This window comes from Homo sapiens, chromosome 2 (assembly GCF_000001405.40).
Source record: "Homo sapiens chromosome 2, GRCh38.p14 Primary Assembly".
Classification (NCBI taxonomy): Eukaryota; Metazoa; Chordata; class Mammalia; order Primates; family Hominidae; genus Homo; species Homo sapiens.
The window spans coordinates 233979471-233999099 of NC_000002.12; the positions used below are offsets into that span (position 1 = coordinate 233979471).

The following is a 19629-nucleotide window of genomic DNA, read 5'->3' on the forward strand; positions in this document are numbered from 1 at the left end:
CCAAATCCAGTTTATGGATTGATTTAGGAGTCATCCAGATGTGGTCTTCTCCTTTCCCTCTTCGGGAAAATGCGAAAAGAGAAAGGATACTCTCTGTTTATTTCAGTGTTTTCCTGACATACTTTCTTCCAAAGAATCATGACCAATACATACACGTCGGTCCCTGAGGCACACTGTTCCTGTCAGTCCTTTCTGCGACCACATCTGTCCTCACAGAAGTTATATACAGCACTTATGTGCACATTTTTTTTAAAAAAAGATTTCTTTTAATCAAGATGTTTTACTGCCATGTGGCAGAAAATTTTTACAGTAATGACACAAATCTATGATGACAACAATATGAGTAATACCCTCTAGGACTGTGTAGTGCACAGCCTGTACCACTGTACATGGTGGCTGGACAGTCTACATCTGCCTACGGAGGGTGTACTCACCCTCTGCAGGTTCCTCTTGAAAAAATGGTGAGGATACATCCATCCTTTTTCCTGACTTTGCCAGCAGACATGAAGAGCAGAACAGCCAGTGTGCTACCTACTTTCCAATCCTCCTGGATTAGCGTGGGGCACGTGGTAGGGCTCACTTGGCATATGAAAGAATAAACAAACACGTCATTGGCTCAAAAAGGACCTGGAAGAAAATGAGTGGACATTTAAAAATCTGGAAATGGTTGATATTTCCAAGCTGCTGATGTCCCTCTCTGTCCCTTTCTGTACGCAGTGGTACGTAAATGGGGTGAATTATTTTACTGACCTGTGGAATGTGATGGACACGCTGGGGCTTTTTTACTTCATAGCAGGAATTGTATTTCGGTAAGTAGTCTCATCACTTTTCCTAATTTTCTGTGTTTTGACTACAAAAGTGGAGAAAAGCTCTGCAGACATTTCAAACCCAAGGGAAGTCTATTACTCATTAGAGATTATTACACAAGACCATGGTGTCTGCTTTATAGAGATACACCTTGGTTGTCGTGAAGTTGAGTCCCCTCTCTTCCCCCTCCCACTGATGTGTAATTTAAAAGGGGTCCTGCATGATTTTTCTCTTTGTTCTTAAAGACTTTGGGGAGAATTATTTTTTTTAAGTAGAGATGAGGTTTCATCATGTTGTCCAGGCTGGTCTCAAATGCCAGGGCTCAAGGGATCCACCTGCCTCAGCCTCCCAAAGTGTTGGGATCACAGACATGAGCCTCTGCCCCTGATCATGGGGAGAAATAAATAGAAATTGAGAACTTTGATTTGAATGCTGGCTGTGGAGTCTGCCCTTCCAGTTACAAGCGTATTTCCTCAATGGCACAGCCAGAGTGTGGGATTAGAAAAACCAACCACAAATTACCACCACAAAAACAATGTGTATTCCACATCGTAGAGAGATTAGGGTATGCCCCAAACCATGGTTTGCATTGCCTAGCCTGCATCCTAACTGGCCTGTCGTCCCCAAATAGCTTTTAAGATAAAGCTAGCAACTGGGCATGGTGGCTCACACCTGTAATCCCAACACTTTGGGAGGATGAGGTGGGAGGATCACTTGAGCCCAGGAGTTTGAGACCAGCCTGAGCAACATAGTGAGACCCTGTTTCAATTTTTTAAAAAATATAAGGCTAGCAATTATATATGAGTAGTACTTTCAAATGATGTCATTTTGTAAAGAATCTTAACCATTCATATTTACACTTATACAGAATGAGATGGTTTACAATGAGTGTTCGCCCTCCAATTTGAATGGGGTAAAAACATCAATTTCCTCTTCAGATAGCCTCCCTTTCTGGTTGGGTTTAAGGTTTCAGCATTTGAGCCACAGTTGGTTGGATATGATTCTAGATCACTCCAGTTAGAAAGCACAGATGGCTTTCAATGAGCACATTAGCAGGTGGTTAGATAATCAAATGATCTGGTGCAAATGAGGTAAGTTTCATTAGGGGAAAGCTGGCAGGGTGAAGTCCCAAGTGGTTATGGGGGTGGGCTGGGGGTTGGCATCGTTATAGAAGCCTTGTGAGCCAGGGAAGTTAGCAATAGCACGGTTAGGTTCCTGCTGTAGTGTGTGAGGATGGCGGGCTAAAGAGACAGGAACCTCCGAGAGCTCAGTTTGGTGAGATGTCTTTGCTTTTCATGTCTTTTCATGTCCTTGACTCTACTTGAGGCCATGAAAGCGGAAGATCATGGCCTCTGCTGGGTGGTGTTTCTGGCCTATTTTCACTCACTCAACCTTCCAGCTCTTGCCTGTTTCTTGAAATTGGGTTATTTTTAGAAACAAAACTTTGGAATGTTTTGTCAATATCTCATGAATTCTGTTCCTTCTTTTCCCCCTAGGCTCCACTCTTCTAATAAAAGCTCTTTGTATTCTGGACGAGTCATTTTCTGTCTGGACTACATTATTTTCACTCTAAGATTGATCCACATTTTTACTGTAAGCAGAAACTTAGGACCCAAGATTATAATGCTGCAGAGGATGGTAAGAGTCAAGAATATTTGTAGTCATCATTTTTCTTGCGGGGCCCAGAGTTCTTTTAATGGTCGATAGGAGGATTTTGTCCTTAGAACGACTGTTGCATTTCACCATCAGTAACATTCGCTTTCTTTGATGTATTTCATCAGGGGCCTCTCCCAGGTTAAAATTTAATGAAAGATGGTTGTGAGGGCAAACAGTGTCATTTAGTGCATTGTTAACAAATAACCTCATACTTACTTAGATTTTATACTTCACAAGTTACTTTCATTTGAGTCTTGACAGTTTGCTAAGAGTGTAGGCAGGGGAGGGACTTTTATGCCAATTTGATACCTGGGGACAGTTGAGTCCAAGGAGGAGTGTTTGTCTAGAGACAAGCAGTGAGCTAGACGCATAGTGAGGATTGGAACCTGAATCATGTAACTGTGTAATATAGATACAGGGAAAGGCTATAGCAGTCTCGTTATATACACGCAATAGAAAGAATTACACATGGATGGTGTTGCTTTCCTAAACTTGTTTTCCAGATGACCCAAACCTCCCCTGTTTCTGTCTTTAAATCAGACGAGCATTGAGATGAGCTCATCTGGAAGCTCCATTCCAACACTGAGGTTCTTTGAGTTTGTGGTTTTAATTCAAAGCATTTCTGGGACATCCAGTCATCATGAAGTCATGCTATGTGTGCACAAAATTAAAAAAAAATTAAACGGTCCATTCTTGTCTAATAAGGATAGCTTTTGTTTTCCAAACAAGCAAATAAACCAACAAACTACAAAAATAATTTTGGGGTTAAAAGTGTATCAAAATCATGAGGTACAGGGACAGAGAGGTCCTCCAAAACTTAGATTCCTCCTTTGCTCTAGAGCTGGGCTCCCACTCAGAAAGCTGCTGTTGCTGGGCTGGTTTGGACATCAGCAAGCAAAAATGCATCAAACCGGTTTTAACTCTGGAAGATAGATGTCTTAAGATCCAAAGATGATGATGACCGCTTTTGTCAATTAGTCAGTGAACTCTGGGTGACTTAGATGCTCTGAGCCCTGGAACCGCTGCTCTTCTCCATGGTCCACTGAGGACGGCCGGGCCGGGGGGACTTGCCAACTGTGGGCACGGTCCTGACTCCGCTCTCCTGTCCTCCCCTGACAGCTGATCGATGTGTTCTTCTTCCTGTTCCTCTTTGCGGTGTGGATGGTGGCCTTTGGCGTGGCCAGGCAAGGGATCCTTAGGCAGAATGAGCAGCGCTGGAGGTGGATATTCCGTTCGGTCATCTACGAGCCCTACCTGGCCATGTTCGGCCAGGTGCCCAGTGACGTGGATGGTAAGCCTGACTTGGCTCAGATGGAAACAGCTTGGAGGAGGCATTTGCTCCCTGAACCAACCCCCAGGGCTGCCCCGGAGACCGCACTTCAGAAGCACGCGCGTGAAACGGAGTCCAACATAACAGAGTAAAAACTCACTCCTCAAAACCTCTTCTTTGCTCTTAAGCAAGATTTTACATCAGCCTTGCAGATGGTGCCCAACATTTCAATTTTTAAACCTTTTTAAAAATAGTGATTCTGGTATTTTCAATTAACAATGTGGCAATTGAAGGCAACAAGACTTACTAGTTTAGAAACCAGGGTTGTGAGTTGTACTCATCGATGTAACAGAGTGGCTGGGCTCCCATTTCTTTCAAAAAGAGCAACATTGGAAAATCCACATTGGAACCTGGAATTTAGACTTCTGGCGTGCGTTAGCCCACTGCCAACTGGTTTTTGGAGGCAGGCTGATGGTGGCACAGATGGTTTTAATTTGCCCACACCCGATTTACAGAAGGAAAGTGAGGGGCTATGTAAATTGTGTGTTTTGGATGGACGGGCTGAAGCATCTTTAGGATGCTGACAATAGCCTTGGCTTGTCATTTCCTACCCTACCACGATAAAACCATCCTGATGGTTTCCCTGAGCCAGAGCCTGCTCCTCCTGGTCACAGTTCTTTGTTCCTGTTGTTTTCTCTGTTATCCTCCTGGCCTTGTAAGTCTCTCTGGCCCCATCTGCTAAAGCCTCTTCCAAGACCTTAGAAACAGCTCTTTTCCCCTGCAGTGGTGGAAAGGCACCTTGGTGTTGTCACTCCCAGTCTGCACACTGTGCCTGCCGCTTTACAGAAGCAGACGCATTTCATCCTCATAACAACCCTCCACGTCCGTCATTTTAGCTCCATGAGGATCTAAAGAGGAATTGGCAGGCGGGGTTCAGATCCAGGGTAGCCACTCATGTGCTGTGTGCCCCCGGGAAGTGACTCCATTTTGCTGTCTCTGTTTCATGGGCACAACTGGTAAAGCACCATCTTCTCTACAGGGCCTCTCACTGGCCGGTGTGACCCCACACATGCTCAGATGAGGATCTCTGGCACGGAGCAGCTCTCAGAGGCCAGACGTTTGTACCCACTGCCCCCTCCTCTGAGATTTCTCAGACGCACCTTGGCACATCCTAATAAAAGGGTCTTGATGCCCACTTCCAGACCCAAACTTCCCCCGATGCCCTCCTGTGAAGGTCTGCTGCCACCGTCCACACAGTTGTGTGAACAGAGCTGTCAGAAGCCTCATTGTTGTCCTTAACACCTTCTCAGATTTCATTCCCCTCTATTCAATTCATCCACTAGTTTTGTTGATTTTTATCTCCTAAATGTTTTTTTGAAATCTGTTTTTTCCATCACCACTGCCGCCCCGTGAGCCATCCTCGTCGCTTGCCTGCCTGAGTCTTAGGCACAACCTCCTCACCTTCCTTCCCCTCGAGCCCCTTCTGATCTGTGCTTCTGCCAGAGCGATTCTTTGGAAAAGGGAATCTGATGTGTCATTCCTCTGCTTAAAACAGCCTTGTGGCTTCCCATCACTTCAGTGTAAAGATTTTAAAAATAGGCCGGGGATGGTGGCTTATGCCTGTAATCCCAGCACTTTGGGAGGCCGAGGCAGACGGATCACCTAAGGACAAGAGTTCAAGACCAGCCTGGTCAACATGGTGAAACCCTGTCTCTACTAAAAATACAAAAATTAGCTGGGCATGGTGGCATGCGCCTATAGTCCCAGCTACTCGGGAGGCTGAGGCAGGAGAATCACTTGAACCTGGGAGGTAGAGGTTGCAGTGAGCCGAGATAGTGCCACTGCACTCCAGCCTCGGCATCAGAGTGAGATTCTGTCTGAAAAAAAAAAAAAGATGTAAAAAATTAATATGTCTGCTCCGTGCACATCTTATTCTCCCATTTCCACTGATGTTTACAACCCCCACCACGGGGCCTTTGCCCATGCTGTTGCCTCTGTGGGGTGCTCTAGGCTCCCAACCTCCCCATTAGTTCATGTTCCTGCTGCTCAGCCTCTGCTCTCAGTTCTGAGACCCTTCCTTCTTGGGAAGCTGCTCCTGGATGAGTTGTCTCAGTTTATGCTTCTCAGAGCACTGTGCGTGTCCTTCTTAGCACTTTACATGGACTGAGACTTTAAATGTGTGTGGTTGATTATCTGCCTATCCAAAGAGGCTGGAACGTTCTTGAGGGCAAAGAACATGTTCACTTGGCCCTTCCTTTTATCTTGATCTTAACAAAGCCCCTTGTTCTTAGTAGCTGCTCAGTAAATATGCATTGAGTGGATGAACAGGTGATTCTAAGGACTATGACTTGTTTGGACAAAGTGCCTTAGACGAAGGCCTAAGACATTTCATGACCACTGACATGTTCTTGTGGCCCTGGGAATGCCATCGCTCTCACCCCTCCAGAGGGTCCTCACTTTGCCTGTTGGTTTCTACATCCTCAGGTACCACGTATGACTTTGCCCACTGCACCTTCACTGGGAATGAGTCCAAGCCACTGTGTGTGGAGCTGGATGAGCACAACCTGCCCCGGTTCCCCGAGTGGATCACCATCCCCCTGGTGTGCATCTACATGTTATCCACCAACATCCTGCTGGTCAACCTGCTGGTCGCCATGTTTGGGTATGTGTTCAGTCACATGTTCACTGATGTCCACCCTGGGCCAAGCCCCATGCCAGGCTGGAGGTGCTGGGAGCATCGCAAAGGTCCCACCCTTGAGGAACATACTTTAGAGATCTTTTGGGGGATTGGTGGACTGGAGGGAGTGGGGCCTTTTTAAAGGGACCATATTAAAAATATAAGCTGTGCCTTGAGTTTATTTGACACTGAAGACAAGCACCTGTGACAATCTTCATCAAATCCAGACTGCATATTTGGCATCCATTTAGCAAGCTCTTTGGAGCTCCATGAGGTTGGTACCAATATCACCCATTGGTGACGGAAATGTAGTTTAACTCATCTCCAAAGTGCCTTATATGTTATGGGGCTCAGTGGTATGGATTCTAGGATTACAGGACTCAGACTTTAGTTAATTACTGTTTTAAATTTTTCAGTTTAAATCAGAATACAAAGAGCAGAGACTGGAGAGTGACTCTCCTTTAGGGCTCATGCCTGATGAGGTTGGAGGGAATAATATTGGTAATTCTCCTTTATATATTTAGAAAATGATGTTTTTCATTTCCTCTCCATCTTTCTTAGGAGGGTTTCAAAGAGCCCCAGTGGTAGTTTCAGTGGGAGAGCCTTGGTTTTATATTGTTCCTTCAAGGTATATCAGCATTTTAAGTGCACAAATCCCATCATGGTCAGAAAGAAAATTAACCAACACATATGCACATTTAATACATTATCTGTTAAACCTTTGGGTGGAAGGGAACTCTTTATTCAAAACCAGAAACCTAGAAACTCTGAATGAGAAGATAAACATATTTGATTATATAAAACAGTTTTATATAATTGATAAATTAGGGAAAATGTTTGCAATGCATATAATGAACAAAGGCTTTTATCTCCTAATATAGAAAGAGCTCCTGTGAATTTATAAGAGAAAGACAACTCATAGAAAACTTGTCAGAGAAAATAAATAATTCAGAGAAAGAAAAGTCCAATGGCCAATAAGCACATAAAAAAGGACTTAATCTTGTGGATAGGAAAGTTCAGGTGGAAACAATGAAACGCTGTTTTAAACCCAGCAGATGAACGAAAGTTAAAGGGAGTCTCTGGTGTTGGGATGATGCTGGGAAATGGACATTGCTACTGGGAACCTGACTCACTTCCCATTCTTAGGAAAGTACTTCAAAAATAGTTATTAAAGGAAAAACATGCAAACCTCTGTCGGAACTCTCTCACATCTGGGAATCTATCCTAAAGGTGTATGTACAAAGATGTTTATTAGATCACTATTTGATGTCTATCACTAGGGAGAGGCTAAAGAAAGTGTGCTGTATCCACACTGTGGAATATTATGCCGCTCTTAAAAGACAAAGTTTGATCTATATCTGTTAACTTGAAAGAATGGTATTTTTTAAATATAAAAAACAAATTGCAAATTAATTTTATGGCATAATATTGTTTTCTAAAAATAAAAACATGGACTTTAAAAATCAAATATATACTTCTCTGGTTACAATGATCACACATTACATTCATAATTTAGAAAAGAATATAAGGAAAAGACAATTGTCAAATAGAGCCCTGAGATTCCAAGATGCTCAAGGACTACAGATGAGGGTCACCTGCCTCATTTGTCCAGTGGCCTCCCCCTGAGCAGGGCTGTGTGGAAGCACATACCTCTGGGGACATCACATAGCAAAGGGGCTGAGCAGTGTGTGGCCATCTGGTCTCCCAGTGTCCAGAGATGTCCTTCTCCAGTCCACTCCAGTCTTCTTTACACTGTGACCAAAAGTGATGTTTCTAAAACATCACCGATGTAGTTTGGCTGTGTCCCCACCCAAATCTCATCTTGAATGGTAGCTCCCATAATTCCCTCAAGTTGTGGGAGGGACCCAGTGGGAGATAATCGAATCATGGGAGCGGTTTCCCCCATACTGTTCTCATGGTAGTGAATATGTCTCACGAGATTTGATGGTTTTATAAGGGGAAACCCCTTTTACTTGGCTCTCATTCTGTTTGCCTGCTGCCATCCACGTAAGACGTGACTTGCTCCTCCTTGCCTTCCATCATGATTGTGAGGCCTCCCCAGCCACGTGGAACTGTGAGTCCATTAAACCTCTTTTTTTTTTTTTTTCTGTAAATTGCCCAGTTTTGGGTATGTCTTTATCATCAGTGTGAAAATGGACTAACACAGTCATTGTTCTGCTTAAAATTCTGGAAGGATTTCAATATTTCCCTACAGCATTCAGGATAAATTTCAGTCTTCTCAGCTTCCCCACCATGCTCATCCCCTGCTCTCTGTCCCCCGGCAGGCCTCCCATATGCTCCTCTTTAAACAGGGTGAACTGCTATGCCTGATGCTTTGCACATACTTGTCCTCTGTCTGGATTGCCTGTTCCATCCCGAACTTCTCTTCCTGCCCAGTTTCTGCTTGCCCTTTACAGAGCCAGGAATCATCTTTTGCCAGGGTGGTACCTGATGGCCTCCCCACTTCACACAGAGACTCTTTGAGCCCCTATGGCACTCTTTTACTTGCATGGTAACAACCTTCTCTCCTTGAGAATGGCGAACTCTGGAGGGTGAAGATTGTGCCCGCCATCTCAGCACCTGTCACTTTGTGGGTTTATTCAATGAATGAAAAAAATGGGTTCTTACCCATGTTTAGTTCATTATTTAGTTATTAGGAGCTTAGCTTCCTGGTGTATTATATACTGAGAAGCACCAATGGTGAGTAACAAATCAGCAAGAGAATCATCATGTAAAGGTTTAACATCTGCTCTGTGCCAGGTGCCTGGGCCATGAAGATTATGTGGCTGCTAGTTCCACATGGCCCTAAGAAGGGAAGGGGAAACTCTCCCTCACCACCTAGCTGGTGGCAGGGAGGGACTTGAGGATCCAGAAGCCTGTCTGACTCACAGGCAGCCAGCCAATGTCATGATGTCCAAATAGTGTCCAAAAGTCAGAGGGGCCAACATCTGAGCTGCAGAGAGAAGCAGCAGGTTATGGGTGATTATGTCTCCACAAGAGAGGGAGCAAAACAGACCAATCCCAAAACCTGAAGCAAAGGCGAGGGCGAAGTGGGATGGCTTCAGGCTTTTCTTTACAGTGATAAGATGTCATAGCTACACTGGATAGTCCTGTAAGAACTCACCACTAACTATATTTACAGACATTAAACAAAAAGACCAACAGCTCCTAAAACCATGGCCTTTGAGTTATGCTAACTTGGTAAATCTCAACGAGGCACATGGTAAAATATTTAGAGCTTTTTTGAATCTATGCACATGAGCTGTCTGAAGGAGCCATTCATGAGAACCGGGCACTTTTGTAATCCATTACCTGCATTTTGATAATGAAATGATTGAATTTGGAGCTGAGAAAGATGGGAGCCTCGTCTGTCACTTTCAGGTGAAGGAGATGAAGTCCCAGCAGCTCAGCGTCTGTGGTCCTGGCCGCGCGTTATCTGGCTTAACTCAGGTCTCTTCCCCACGAGGCCAGAGCCACTGCATCACATCCTACTGTTGCCCCAGTCAGTGCTTAAGTGTGACAGCTTGCAACATCCCTGTCCTTGGGGAACCTCCTCGATTAGCTCCGGCTTAAACCAGAGGCCTTTTCCTGGCTAATACCTGTCTGGGGACACCAGAACAGCGAGAGACGCCGTGTTGTTATCCTTAGGTTAAATCCTTGGAACACTGTTTCTGATCATTTTTAAAGTTGTTCAGGGCTTACTCTGTGAGCAGATGGCCCCAGGATGTGACCCTTCCCTGGCACCACATCAAAATACTCATTTAAAAGCTTAACCATACACAATGGCAACCTTATTAACTGCAATGCAAATGTACCTTTGGGAATTCTGAAGGAGTATTGGAGTGCTCTCTAGATGGTATTCAACAGAGAAAGGAAATGGATGTGAACATCTGTGATTATTCTACATTAAAATTATCGATCACAGGGCCTGTGTGGCTTATCAGCGGCAGGAAGTGAATTTAAAGTCAGTAAATGACTCCAGGTCGACTTACCAGGAGCTAGGGCATTTATAAGCATTGTGCCCTGAAGATAAGTTCACCCCAGGCAGTTCTGAAAAGGACTCGTCAAACATGTCCTGCTGTAGAATAATTTCTAAAAATGTTTTTCAGATCTTAGGAGTAATATAAACATGCAGAAAAGTAGAAGGAAGAAAATAATGACCTGATACAAACTAAAGGTTTGAGTGCTGTGTGAACAGTCTAAGGGAGGTTATTGAATTGGGGTGAAAAGAATAGAAAGAAGAGCGCAGATAATTGTAATAGTAACAATAGCTAATATTTATTGAAGCTTTCCCATGCTGGGCACAGGTTCAAGTGCTTTACAGGGGTCGCCTCATTTAATTATTACTCATTTCTGTGTAGGTGTGTAGCCGGTGGGCTAGTTCAGGTTCTTGACTTTGGGACAGAAAATAATTTGAAAGTGAGTCAAAAGCAAAAGCAAGCAAGAGAGTTGACTGCAAAGCCAAAGTACACTCTAGCAGCCGGTCAGAACGGGCCACTCAAAGGCAAGACAGCTCTGTCTAATACTGGGGGATCTCCCTTTATGGGAAATTTGCATGATTATTCATGAAGGGGTGGTAAGGGGTGTTGCTATTAAGCATGTTAGGAGTGGTTTCTTAGGTCCACATGTGCAGTGGCTGTACATGCTAGTACATCCATCGCATGTCTTATAAGCATTTTAAATCTCCACCTGGGGGTGTGTTTTTTACTATTATAATGAGCACAGGTCAGCCCAAGGACACTAATCACGGGTTTCTGTGCTTGTACAAATGTGGGGATTTTTCTCTTCTGCTCCTGCCTTTTTGCTGTAGGGTGTTCTAACCACGAGCTCAGGATGCGGTCTGTGCACTGTTAGGTGGTTTGTTCTCTTCATCAATTTGACAAGTTTCTTGTTTCCTGTCAAGGGAGGCTCTGACCACCTCATCTAACCTGCCTCAGGTGCAGCCTTATTGCCATTTTACACGTAAGGAGTGGGAGGCAGAGAAAGGTTAAGTCCCTGATATTAAGGGAAGAGATGACATGGAAACATATGAATATAATATATATAATATAATGTAATACAAACAGCATGGAGAGGCTATTTGCAGAGGAGGGAGTTATTAATTGTGAGATTGTTGGCTGGGGGAGCCTAGGATCTGCAGCAGCAGCTAGGTGGAGGTGATGTTTGCTTGAAAGATCATGTACCCAGAGCCCCAAGTGTTGGTAGGAGAGGTAGAAGCAGGGGAGATAATGTTAGTCTAGGGAGGAATCAGCAGCCGGGGAGGGTGGAAATGTAGGCAGGGGCTAGGTTATGGAGAGTCTTTTATAGTATATTAAAGAATTTGGACTTTTTCCTGAAGTTGAAGAGAAATGTCATGGGTCTTCGTGCAAGTATATGGCACAGTCTTAGTTGGTTATTCTGTTAGCAATATACTAACCTGAATTATCAATTCCAAAATCAGTGTGATCCAATCGCTTGTCATCTCTTACTGCTGGCTGTTGTTGGCTTTGTACCTGCTTTTTTGATGTTGCAGAATGAGAGGGGAACCAGGATGTGTTACACAGTTTAACATACACACCAGCGCATCAGAGAGAGCGAAAAGTCACTGTCACCACGGGCCATGGGGCAGTACTGGCTAGATACTGCCTGTGTGCTGGGGAAGGAGCGACAAAGGAAAATCCATGAAATCTACGCAAAGTTTGGAGGAGGTGTCCATCTGATAGGGAATTAGCTGACAAGTTTCTTGTATTTCAGTGTATTTGAAAATTCTGCCATTGTTTTAGCATCTACTTTTTCCTTGTGAATTTTTTGCAGACTTTGCATTCTGTTCTGTGGATCTGTCTTTGTATTTTGGTTTTTACTACCAAATGGCTTTGATTACTGAAGTATTTTTTTCTTTTAGGCGTTCTAACATCTGTTGTACAAGTTTCCCTCATTATTCTTATTCAAAACTTTTCTGGCATTTCTTGTATATTTAATTGTACAGAGGAGCCTAAGGCTTATCTTGTGGATTCTTTCTTCTTTCTCCTTCCCCCAAAAATTCTTGTGAATATTATTATGATGATGTTAGGTTTGTAGAATCATTTAAGGGAATTTGGCATCTTACTATTGAGAAGAAATGCTATGATTTTCATTTATTCAAACATATATAATTTCCCAGTAAAGTTTTATGGTCTTTTTCATATGGATCTGGCAGATTCCTTGTTAATTTGTTTCCAGCCACTTATGGTAGGGGGAAAAAAGTAAGGTACTTTTTCTATTATGTTTTTTCAGTGACTACGTTTTGGTACGTAAGAAGGTTATTAAAGTTTTCCTTATTTATTCTGGAATGAGTCTCCTTACTAAATTACTTTTCTTTTTTTTTCTTTTTATCATGTCATGGAAAGTTCCTCCTCTTTTTTGTTTATTAAGCTCCTTTCTCTTTCTCTTCCTAATCAGAAAAGGATGTTATATGTTGCCAGAAGATTTCTAGCAGTTATTGAAATGCTATTTTTCCCTTTGATCTAGTATTATGATGCATTGTACAAAAGATGAATGACATAAATGTTCTTAATATTTAGTCATCCTATTCCATGGTCATGGTGTGTTATTCTTTTAAGGTACTTCTGGACTTCATTTATGTACAAAGTGATCTGAATTCTAAACGTCTGTTCCCTCTTGGTACCATTTCCACTCTCAGTGAGTTTCTGAACTGCTGTCCCTCTGCATGGCCTCTCCTTCCTCCTCCTCTCCTGCTCAGCTGGTTTCAGGAGATGGACCTCAGCTGTCACTGCATGTCTCCAGCCAGCTAGGTGTTTGCCAGGGACAGGACGCCAAGGGCACAAGATATCGCTGGAGATGCACAAAGGGAAAATTGCAGAATTCTCTCAGGGACAACACCAGATGGCCACTGGTTGTCAAGGAGACTTTAAGAACCATCTCAGATGGGGCGGGTGAGACCCTGGGCATGAGAGATGGTCTCTAAGCTGCTACAATGCTTGCTTTGCTGAGGGGGTGTGCACGTGCTGGCCCAGAAAATCCTTTTCTGCAGAGTTCAGTCTCCCCTTTACAGAATTTGAAAACAATGTCTACAGAATATAAACATTGTTTTAGGAAAGCAGGTGGAAGCATCGCTCCATTAGGAGCCCCCCTCTGGAGAACCCTCATGTCTATTTGGCTGAGTCCTGGACTGACTTGAGAGAAAAAGAACATTTTGGAAGCTGCTGCCATATGGGTCAGCTGTACCTCGGTGTATAAATAAATCTCAGCCTAGCCAATCCTGAATATGCATTATTTATGCAAAACGGCTTTTGGGTATTAATGTCCAGTTATCAGCTGGTTCATTCACACCCCCTGGGATGCCCATAAGAGTTCTTGCTATTTGTCTGGGAAAGCATTGCTGCTCACTGGATCCACCTTTGCCCTTGAGGTACAGAGGAAGCTACTCTTCCAGCAGGAGGGGCCGTGCAGTCAACCCAGTTGTCCTGAGGAACAAATGATTGGTGACCTATGAGGCAGAGCTCTTTAAAAGTAGGGAATGATACAAACACAAAGCCTTATTCATGGGCACTGGCCTACGTGCACTGTAGCTCAGGGATCACAGACTTTCTCTGTAAGGGCCAGCTAGGGTCATTGGTCAGATGTGTCAAAAGAAGCAGTATTCAGTGATGCTGTACCCACCTGCACCTCCCTGCTTTGTAAAAGCCATTCTTAGCTCATGGACTGTACAAAAACAGGTGGGGGGCTTGGCTTGGTCCCAAGTTGCAGTTTTCCAATCCCTATTTTAGATGATCTAGAAGACATGTTTTTCCCTGACTCCAAGTGGCCACTTAAGCCATGGTGCAATAAATCTCTTCCTACTTGGACTCTTGTGGGCTGCGTTTCCACTCTGAGCTCTCTGAGGAAGATGGGGGGCCCACTTGCCAGAGAGAATGCTTTCCCCTGCTCTGAGCATCCTGGAAGTTTCTCTTTTCAATAGGACTTATTGCTTCCTTTGGAATAATACCTCAGAAAACAACATCAATGCACAAAAATGGATGCAGTTGTTTTGATTTTTTCTTTGGTGTTAGAGTTTTGGGAAGTCAGTATAATCCATTTTTTGACTAGATATATAGTCAAAGATTTCTATTTCCTTTTTTGAAATAGAGCATCTATTTCTTTTTTGGAAATACAACATTGCTTAAAGTATTTTCACATTCATCTCTTCTTATTTTTAGGTTAAATTCCCCAAACTCGAATATTTCAAGTTACTTCTAGGGACAATAATTTGAATGGTAATAGTTGTTCTGGCCCAAGTAGTAAACTGATTTCTGGCAAGTTCTTAGCCTGAACTTCCCTAATCGGGGGCTGCTGCATGCACACGTGTCTCGTTGCAGCCGCAGAAACATGCAGTGCATTTTGTAGGCAACAGAACCAGCTGTGGACTAGAAAGGGTGGATGATGATGCTTGCTATTAGCCTCAAAGCAGCCTGACCTACATTTGGAAGAAACGCCAGGCTGGCTGCTAGATTTGACTGGCTGCACTATAATACATCCCAGTCCTGGCTGTTTTTCACCTAAGTAATCTACCACTCAGGGTTGATGTGAGGATCAGTCAACCAACCAATTTACAGGCATAGCATAGGAGCTTACATGGAGGAGATGTTTAATAAACAGAAATCCTTTTCTTTTAAGGATCTCACCCTGTTCAAGAGGCACCTGCTACAAGTCTGCCTTACACGGGATCCAGGCCCTAGTGTAGATTGCAGAGGTGTTCCATTCGTCATTAAACACCAAGATAAACAAAGCTAAACTTTAAGCAAAGCCAATAACCATTGTCTGTGTTGGTCAGTGTTTTGCGTAGGTATCCGACATTTTTTTTTGCTTAAGATATTTAAGTCTAATGTAATGTACTAAGGTGCAAGAATGAGGTCTCGTAACATATGTAATCGATTTTTCTGCCTGACTTTATTGAGGATGTTCCCCAGAATTTGGATAATTTAATGCTTCCCCCATCAGGATTTGCCTTCAAACAGTTCATTGCACCTCTTTGGCTCTTGAAGGGATGATTTGATATTAGCAATAAAAATGTCTTGGATGGTTGAACTTTGCAAATTGTAATATGCTTTGTAGTTATCTAAAATGCTAAGCTAGCAAGTGGCCCAGTAAAATCCTTTTGAAATGAAGCATATCTCAAACCCATTTTTTGAAATAGAGCATTGCTTAAAACATTTCCTGCTCCCCTCTGTGAGGTGGTATCATGTAGCAGCGAAACAAATAGACGTGGGGCTGGATTGCGGGGTCCAAATCCCGAATTCAACACTTCCTAACTGGAGGACTCAGACAATTCACTTACCTTTGTTGTGCCTCCATTTCCTGATCTGTTCATTGTAGATGATAATAGACATCATAGATAATAGACATACATCAGAGAGTTGTTTGTAGATTAAGCCAGTTAATTTAAGCAGACTGCTGGAACAGTGTCTGGTTTATAATAAGTGTTAGCTATTTTATAGTTTTGGTTTAATTTGTAACAGAGAAATCCTTGGCATTATCAGTTTTGGAGTAAGACACAAAATGAACATTTTAATCATTATGGAAGTAATTCATACTCATTGCCTCATGCTGGAAAGCAAATGGAAAAGAGACTAAACAGCACTCAAAACATGATGCCCAAGGTGACTGCCATTTGTGGTTGATCTATTTCTCTTTGTGAATTGAGATCTGCATAACAAAACCGTATTGTAAGTACAAGTTTGAGCCTAATTATTTTCACTTAACATATATGATAAGCATTTCCCCATAATAAAACAATTATTCATAACTTTAATGGCTGCATAATGTAATCATATTGATTAATCGTAATGTGTGACACATTTTCTTAGTGATGAACATTTAGTTTCTTTCTTTCTCTTTGAGTAGGGGGTGGGGGCAGCTGTTACATATGGTGCTGGTGGCCAACAGTCATGCATATATATTCATTTACATATATATTTTTTCTTAGTATTTCCTTATTCTTAGGGTAGATTCCCAGAAGTAAAGTCATTGGGTCAAAGGGATGAACATTTTTAAGGCTCTTGATAAACACTAACAAGCTGTTTTCTTCTCAGGCTGTTTACACTTAGACATGGATGAGGGCCACCATGCTAGTCCCAAGGGTGTTGACATCTTGGACCACTTTGTATCTAACATCATAAGAAATGAATAAAAAAAGAGAATCATTGAAAGATCTTGAAATAAAATAATTTTAAAGTTTGTTGAGCATTTTTTTGTGATTAAAAAAAAAAAAAAACCACCAAAAGCCAGACACACTTTTGACCCAGCATGAATTGAAGGTCACTTTCACTTCCTGCTGAGTTATTTTGGCTCGTGTATCACTCTGGATTCTTCTCTCCTGTCTGTACTTAAGCTATTGCAGTAATAGCTTAATACCACTATTACCATACTAGGCAGTTTAGCGATGAGGCATGCGCAATGCTAAGTCTTGGCCTTCTCTCTTCCCTCACCAGCTACACGGTGGGCACCGTCCAGGAGAACAATGACCAGGTCTGGAAGTTCCAGAGGTACTTCCTGGTGCAGGAGTACTGCAGCCGCCTCAATATCCCCTTCCCCTTCATCGTCTTCGCTTACTTCTACATGGTGGTGAAGAAGTGCTTCAAGTGTTGCTGCAAGGAGAAAAACATGGAGTCTTCTGTCTGCTGTGAGTGGTTTATCCATGTGTACTTGGGATCAGAAGCAGCGATTAATTTCAGGGAAGGATGCCTGGTGTGTATCTCAACAGGAAGGAATTATTCACAGATCTTTCACTGTTCACATCTGTACATCTGTAAAGATCAGGCCTCAGGCCAACCAATGAATTACTCTAGAGAAATGTAGCTGAAGAAAGCACTGTAGATCTGCCGGGATAGCCTGCTCTGTGGGGAATGAATGACTTTTGGACAGATCGTGTAATAATAATGTAAATAGTATGTTGAACGGGCAGAATTCATGGGATAGTGTCCAATCATGACTTTGTTTTTGCTTTTCATTGTTCCCGTGAAATTTATTCTCTAGGAACCTTTAAATCTGACTCCAGCACGGTTTGTGACTCTTCTTAGGAGAATAGAAAATCTTAACAATTGTCATATTTGAGAAAACATCATCTCAGTTTAGAAATAGGAATGTGTGGCCAGGCGTGGTGGCTCACGCCTGTAATCCCAACACTTTGGGAGGCCTAGGCGGGCGGATTGCCTGAGCTCAGGAGTTTGTGACCAGCCTGGGCAACACGGTGAAACCCCATCTCTACTAAAATACAAAAAAATTAGCCGGGTGTGGTGGTGTGTGCCTGTAGTCCTGTAGTCCCAGCTACTCGGGAGGCTGAGGCAGGAGAATTGCTTGAACCCAGGAGGTGGAGGATGCAGTGAGCCGAGATCTCACCACTGCACTCCAGCCTGGGCGACAGAGTGAGACTCCGTCTCAAAAAAAAAGAAAGAAAGAAATAGGAACGTGCAGTTCAATATATTAGCCAGCCTATTAATTGCTATTCAGAGGTGAGACTCCTCCTCCCTGCCCCATTCCCAGCTGATGGAGCCGTCAGGGAGGGTCGGCAGTGGGCTGTTCCCTCTCTTTGCTCCCATTCACCAGCTGTGGGGACTGACCCTCCACAGCTGGAGCACAGAGGGACAGGATGGGAAGGGGAGCTGAAAGCCTTTTCTTAGTGATGCTGTTCTGGGCTGCTTCGTGCCCTCTGGCCTGGCAGATGTTTGAAACTGATCCTTGATTGTGTGGGCACTCAGGGGGTCCTTCAGAGAGTCCCTGGCTGTCACCTCTGACCCCAACTCCTAAGACTTGGCCATGATTTCTCTGGTGGCTCCCCCCTACCCCAGCCTCTGGTTTCCAGGGGTCCACCACACACTCCACACACTAATGTCTTCAGGAAGGCAGCCATCAACCCAACGCATCCACACATCAGACTGTGGATCATTCTCTCTCTCATGTGGTCACCTAGCCCTTACAAACTGGGGTGCAGGCTGCTCCCCACCCAGCCACCACTCCCTACCCCTGAAGTGGTAGCAGCTGTCAGCCACATGTCCTTTGAATGCAGGGAGCCAGCATCCAGCTCTCTTCCTGGCCCTGTAGGAAACCACATCAGGCTTGAGTTTCTCCCAGAGCCACTAAGCCAGACAATCTTCCTAGCCCCCAGTTATGCCTCAACCAGATTAAGCATGCAGGGAGGAAGGGGCCTGTTTTTATTTGTTTGGAGGTTTGGACACAAAAGAAAAGATAGAAAGGGCACCCCTGGCCTTTTTCCTCATCCCTTAACCTCAGACCTAAGCCAAAGATCCATCTCTGGGATGGGGATGTAGCTGTGGGGCCAACTCCTCCATCAGGCACAGTGCCAGGGCCCACAGGACCTCAGGGGCTCCTGAACATCTTTACATTTTCTTTCAAAACCAGAAGAAAAAAATGAGCTTTTAGATTAAAGAAAGTGTTCTCATATATATTAATGTATTTGTTTTACACCAACTAAGTCATACAATATTTTTAATATATTTTTTCTGAAGGAAGGGACTCAGAATGGCAAATGTGCCTAGGGCCTAGGGTGACCATCTCGTTGTAGTTTGCCCAGGACTTCCCCATCTTAGTACTGAGAGTCCTGCATCCTGGGAATCCAGTTAGGGTGAGCAGCCTGCGCCCAACCAGTTAGGGTGCCAGCAGCCTGCGCCCAACCAGTTAGGGTGAGCAGATTGTACCCAGCTAGTTAGGGTGAGCTGCTTGTGCCCATCCAGTTAGGGTGCCAGCTTGTGCCCATCCAGTTAGAGTGAGCCGCTTGTGCCCATCCAGTTAGGGTGAGCCGCCTGTGCCCATCCAGTTAGGGTGAGCAGCCTGTGCCCATCCAGTTAGGGTGAGCCGCCTGTGCCCATCCAGTTAGAGTGCCAGCTTGTGCCCATCCAGTTAGGGTGCCAGCTTGTGCCCATCCTGTTAAGGTGAGCAGATTCTACCCATTCAGTTAGAGTGAGCAGCTTGTGCCCATTTGCCCAGGACTATCCCAATTGTAACATGGGCATTTTTGCCTTCTGGGAACCTCCTTGGTTTCAGGGACTGCTGATCACCCTTCTAGTCTTAACAGCCCTGTGTGCTGACAAGGGATGTAGAGTTAATGACTCGGGTTGGACCACGCTTTGGTACCTTCAGGATTTTCATTTTCAGTTTCCTTCTTGTGAAAAAAATAAAGGAGGGTCATTTTACGTCTCTAAGTGGATCAGTTATATATAATTATGTAACAAGTCACCCCGAAACTTGG

The 19629-nt window shown here is 43.9% G+C and overlaps 1 protein-coding gene across 24 annotated transcripts in view, besides 1 other annotated feature; it reads left to right on the forward strand.

Annotated features, from left to right (window-relative positions):
- The window catches only part of TRPM8 (transient receptor potential cation channel subfamily M member 8), a 102150-nt gene that overhangs the window by 62098 nt on the left and 20423 nt on the right, over positions 1 to 19629 (forward strand). For 17 of the 24 annotated variants that reach the window (NM_024080.5, XM_011511810.3, NM_001397608.1 and 14 more), the window contains 5 exons: positions 718 to 809; positions 2304 to 2445; positions 3583 to 3754; positions 6218 to 6395; positions 16856 to 17046. In NM_024080.5, coding sequence (NP_076985.4) covers positions 718 to 809; positions 2304 to 2445; positions 3583 to 3754; positions 6218 to 6395; positions 16856 to 17046 — 775 coding nt within the window. Of the gene's footprint in view, positions 1 to 678; positions 810 to 2303; positions 2446 to 3582; positions 3755 to 6217; positions 6396 to 16855; positions 17405 to 19629 lie in introns of those variants that run through there. The other 7 variants (NM_001397606.1, NM_001397613.1, NM_001397612.1 and 4 more) reach the window with 2 other exon arrangements.
- Positions 11057 to 11106: an enhancer, noted in NCBI's record as "active region_17351". NCBI's record gives its function as "activates an Ori minimal core promoter by ATAC-STARR-seq in GM12878 lymphoblastoid cells {active_cell/tissue: GM12878}" and the evidence as "EXISTENCE:reporter gene assay evidence [ECO:0000049][PMID:35858748]".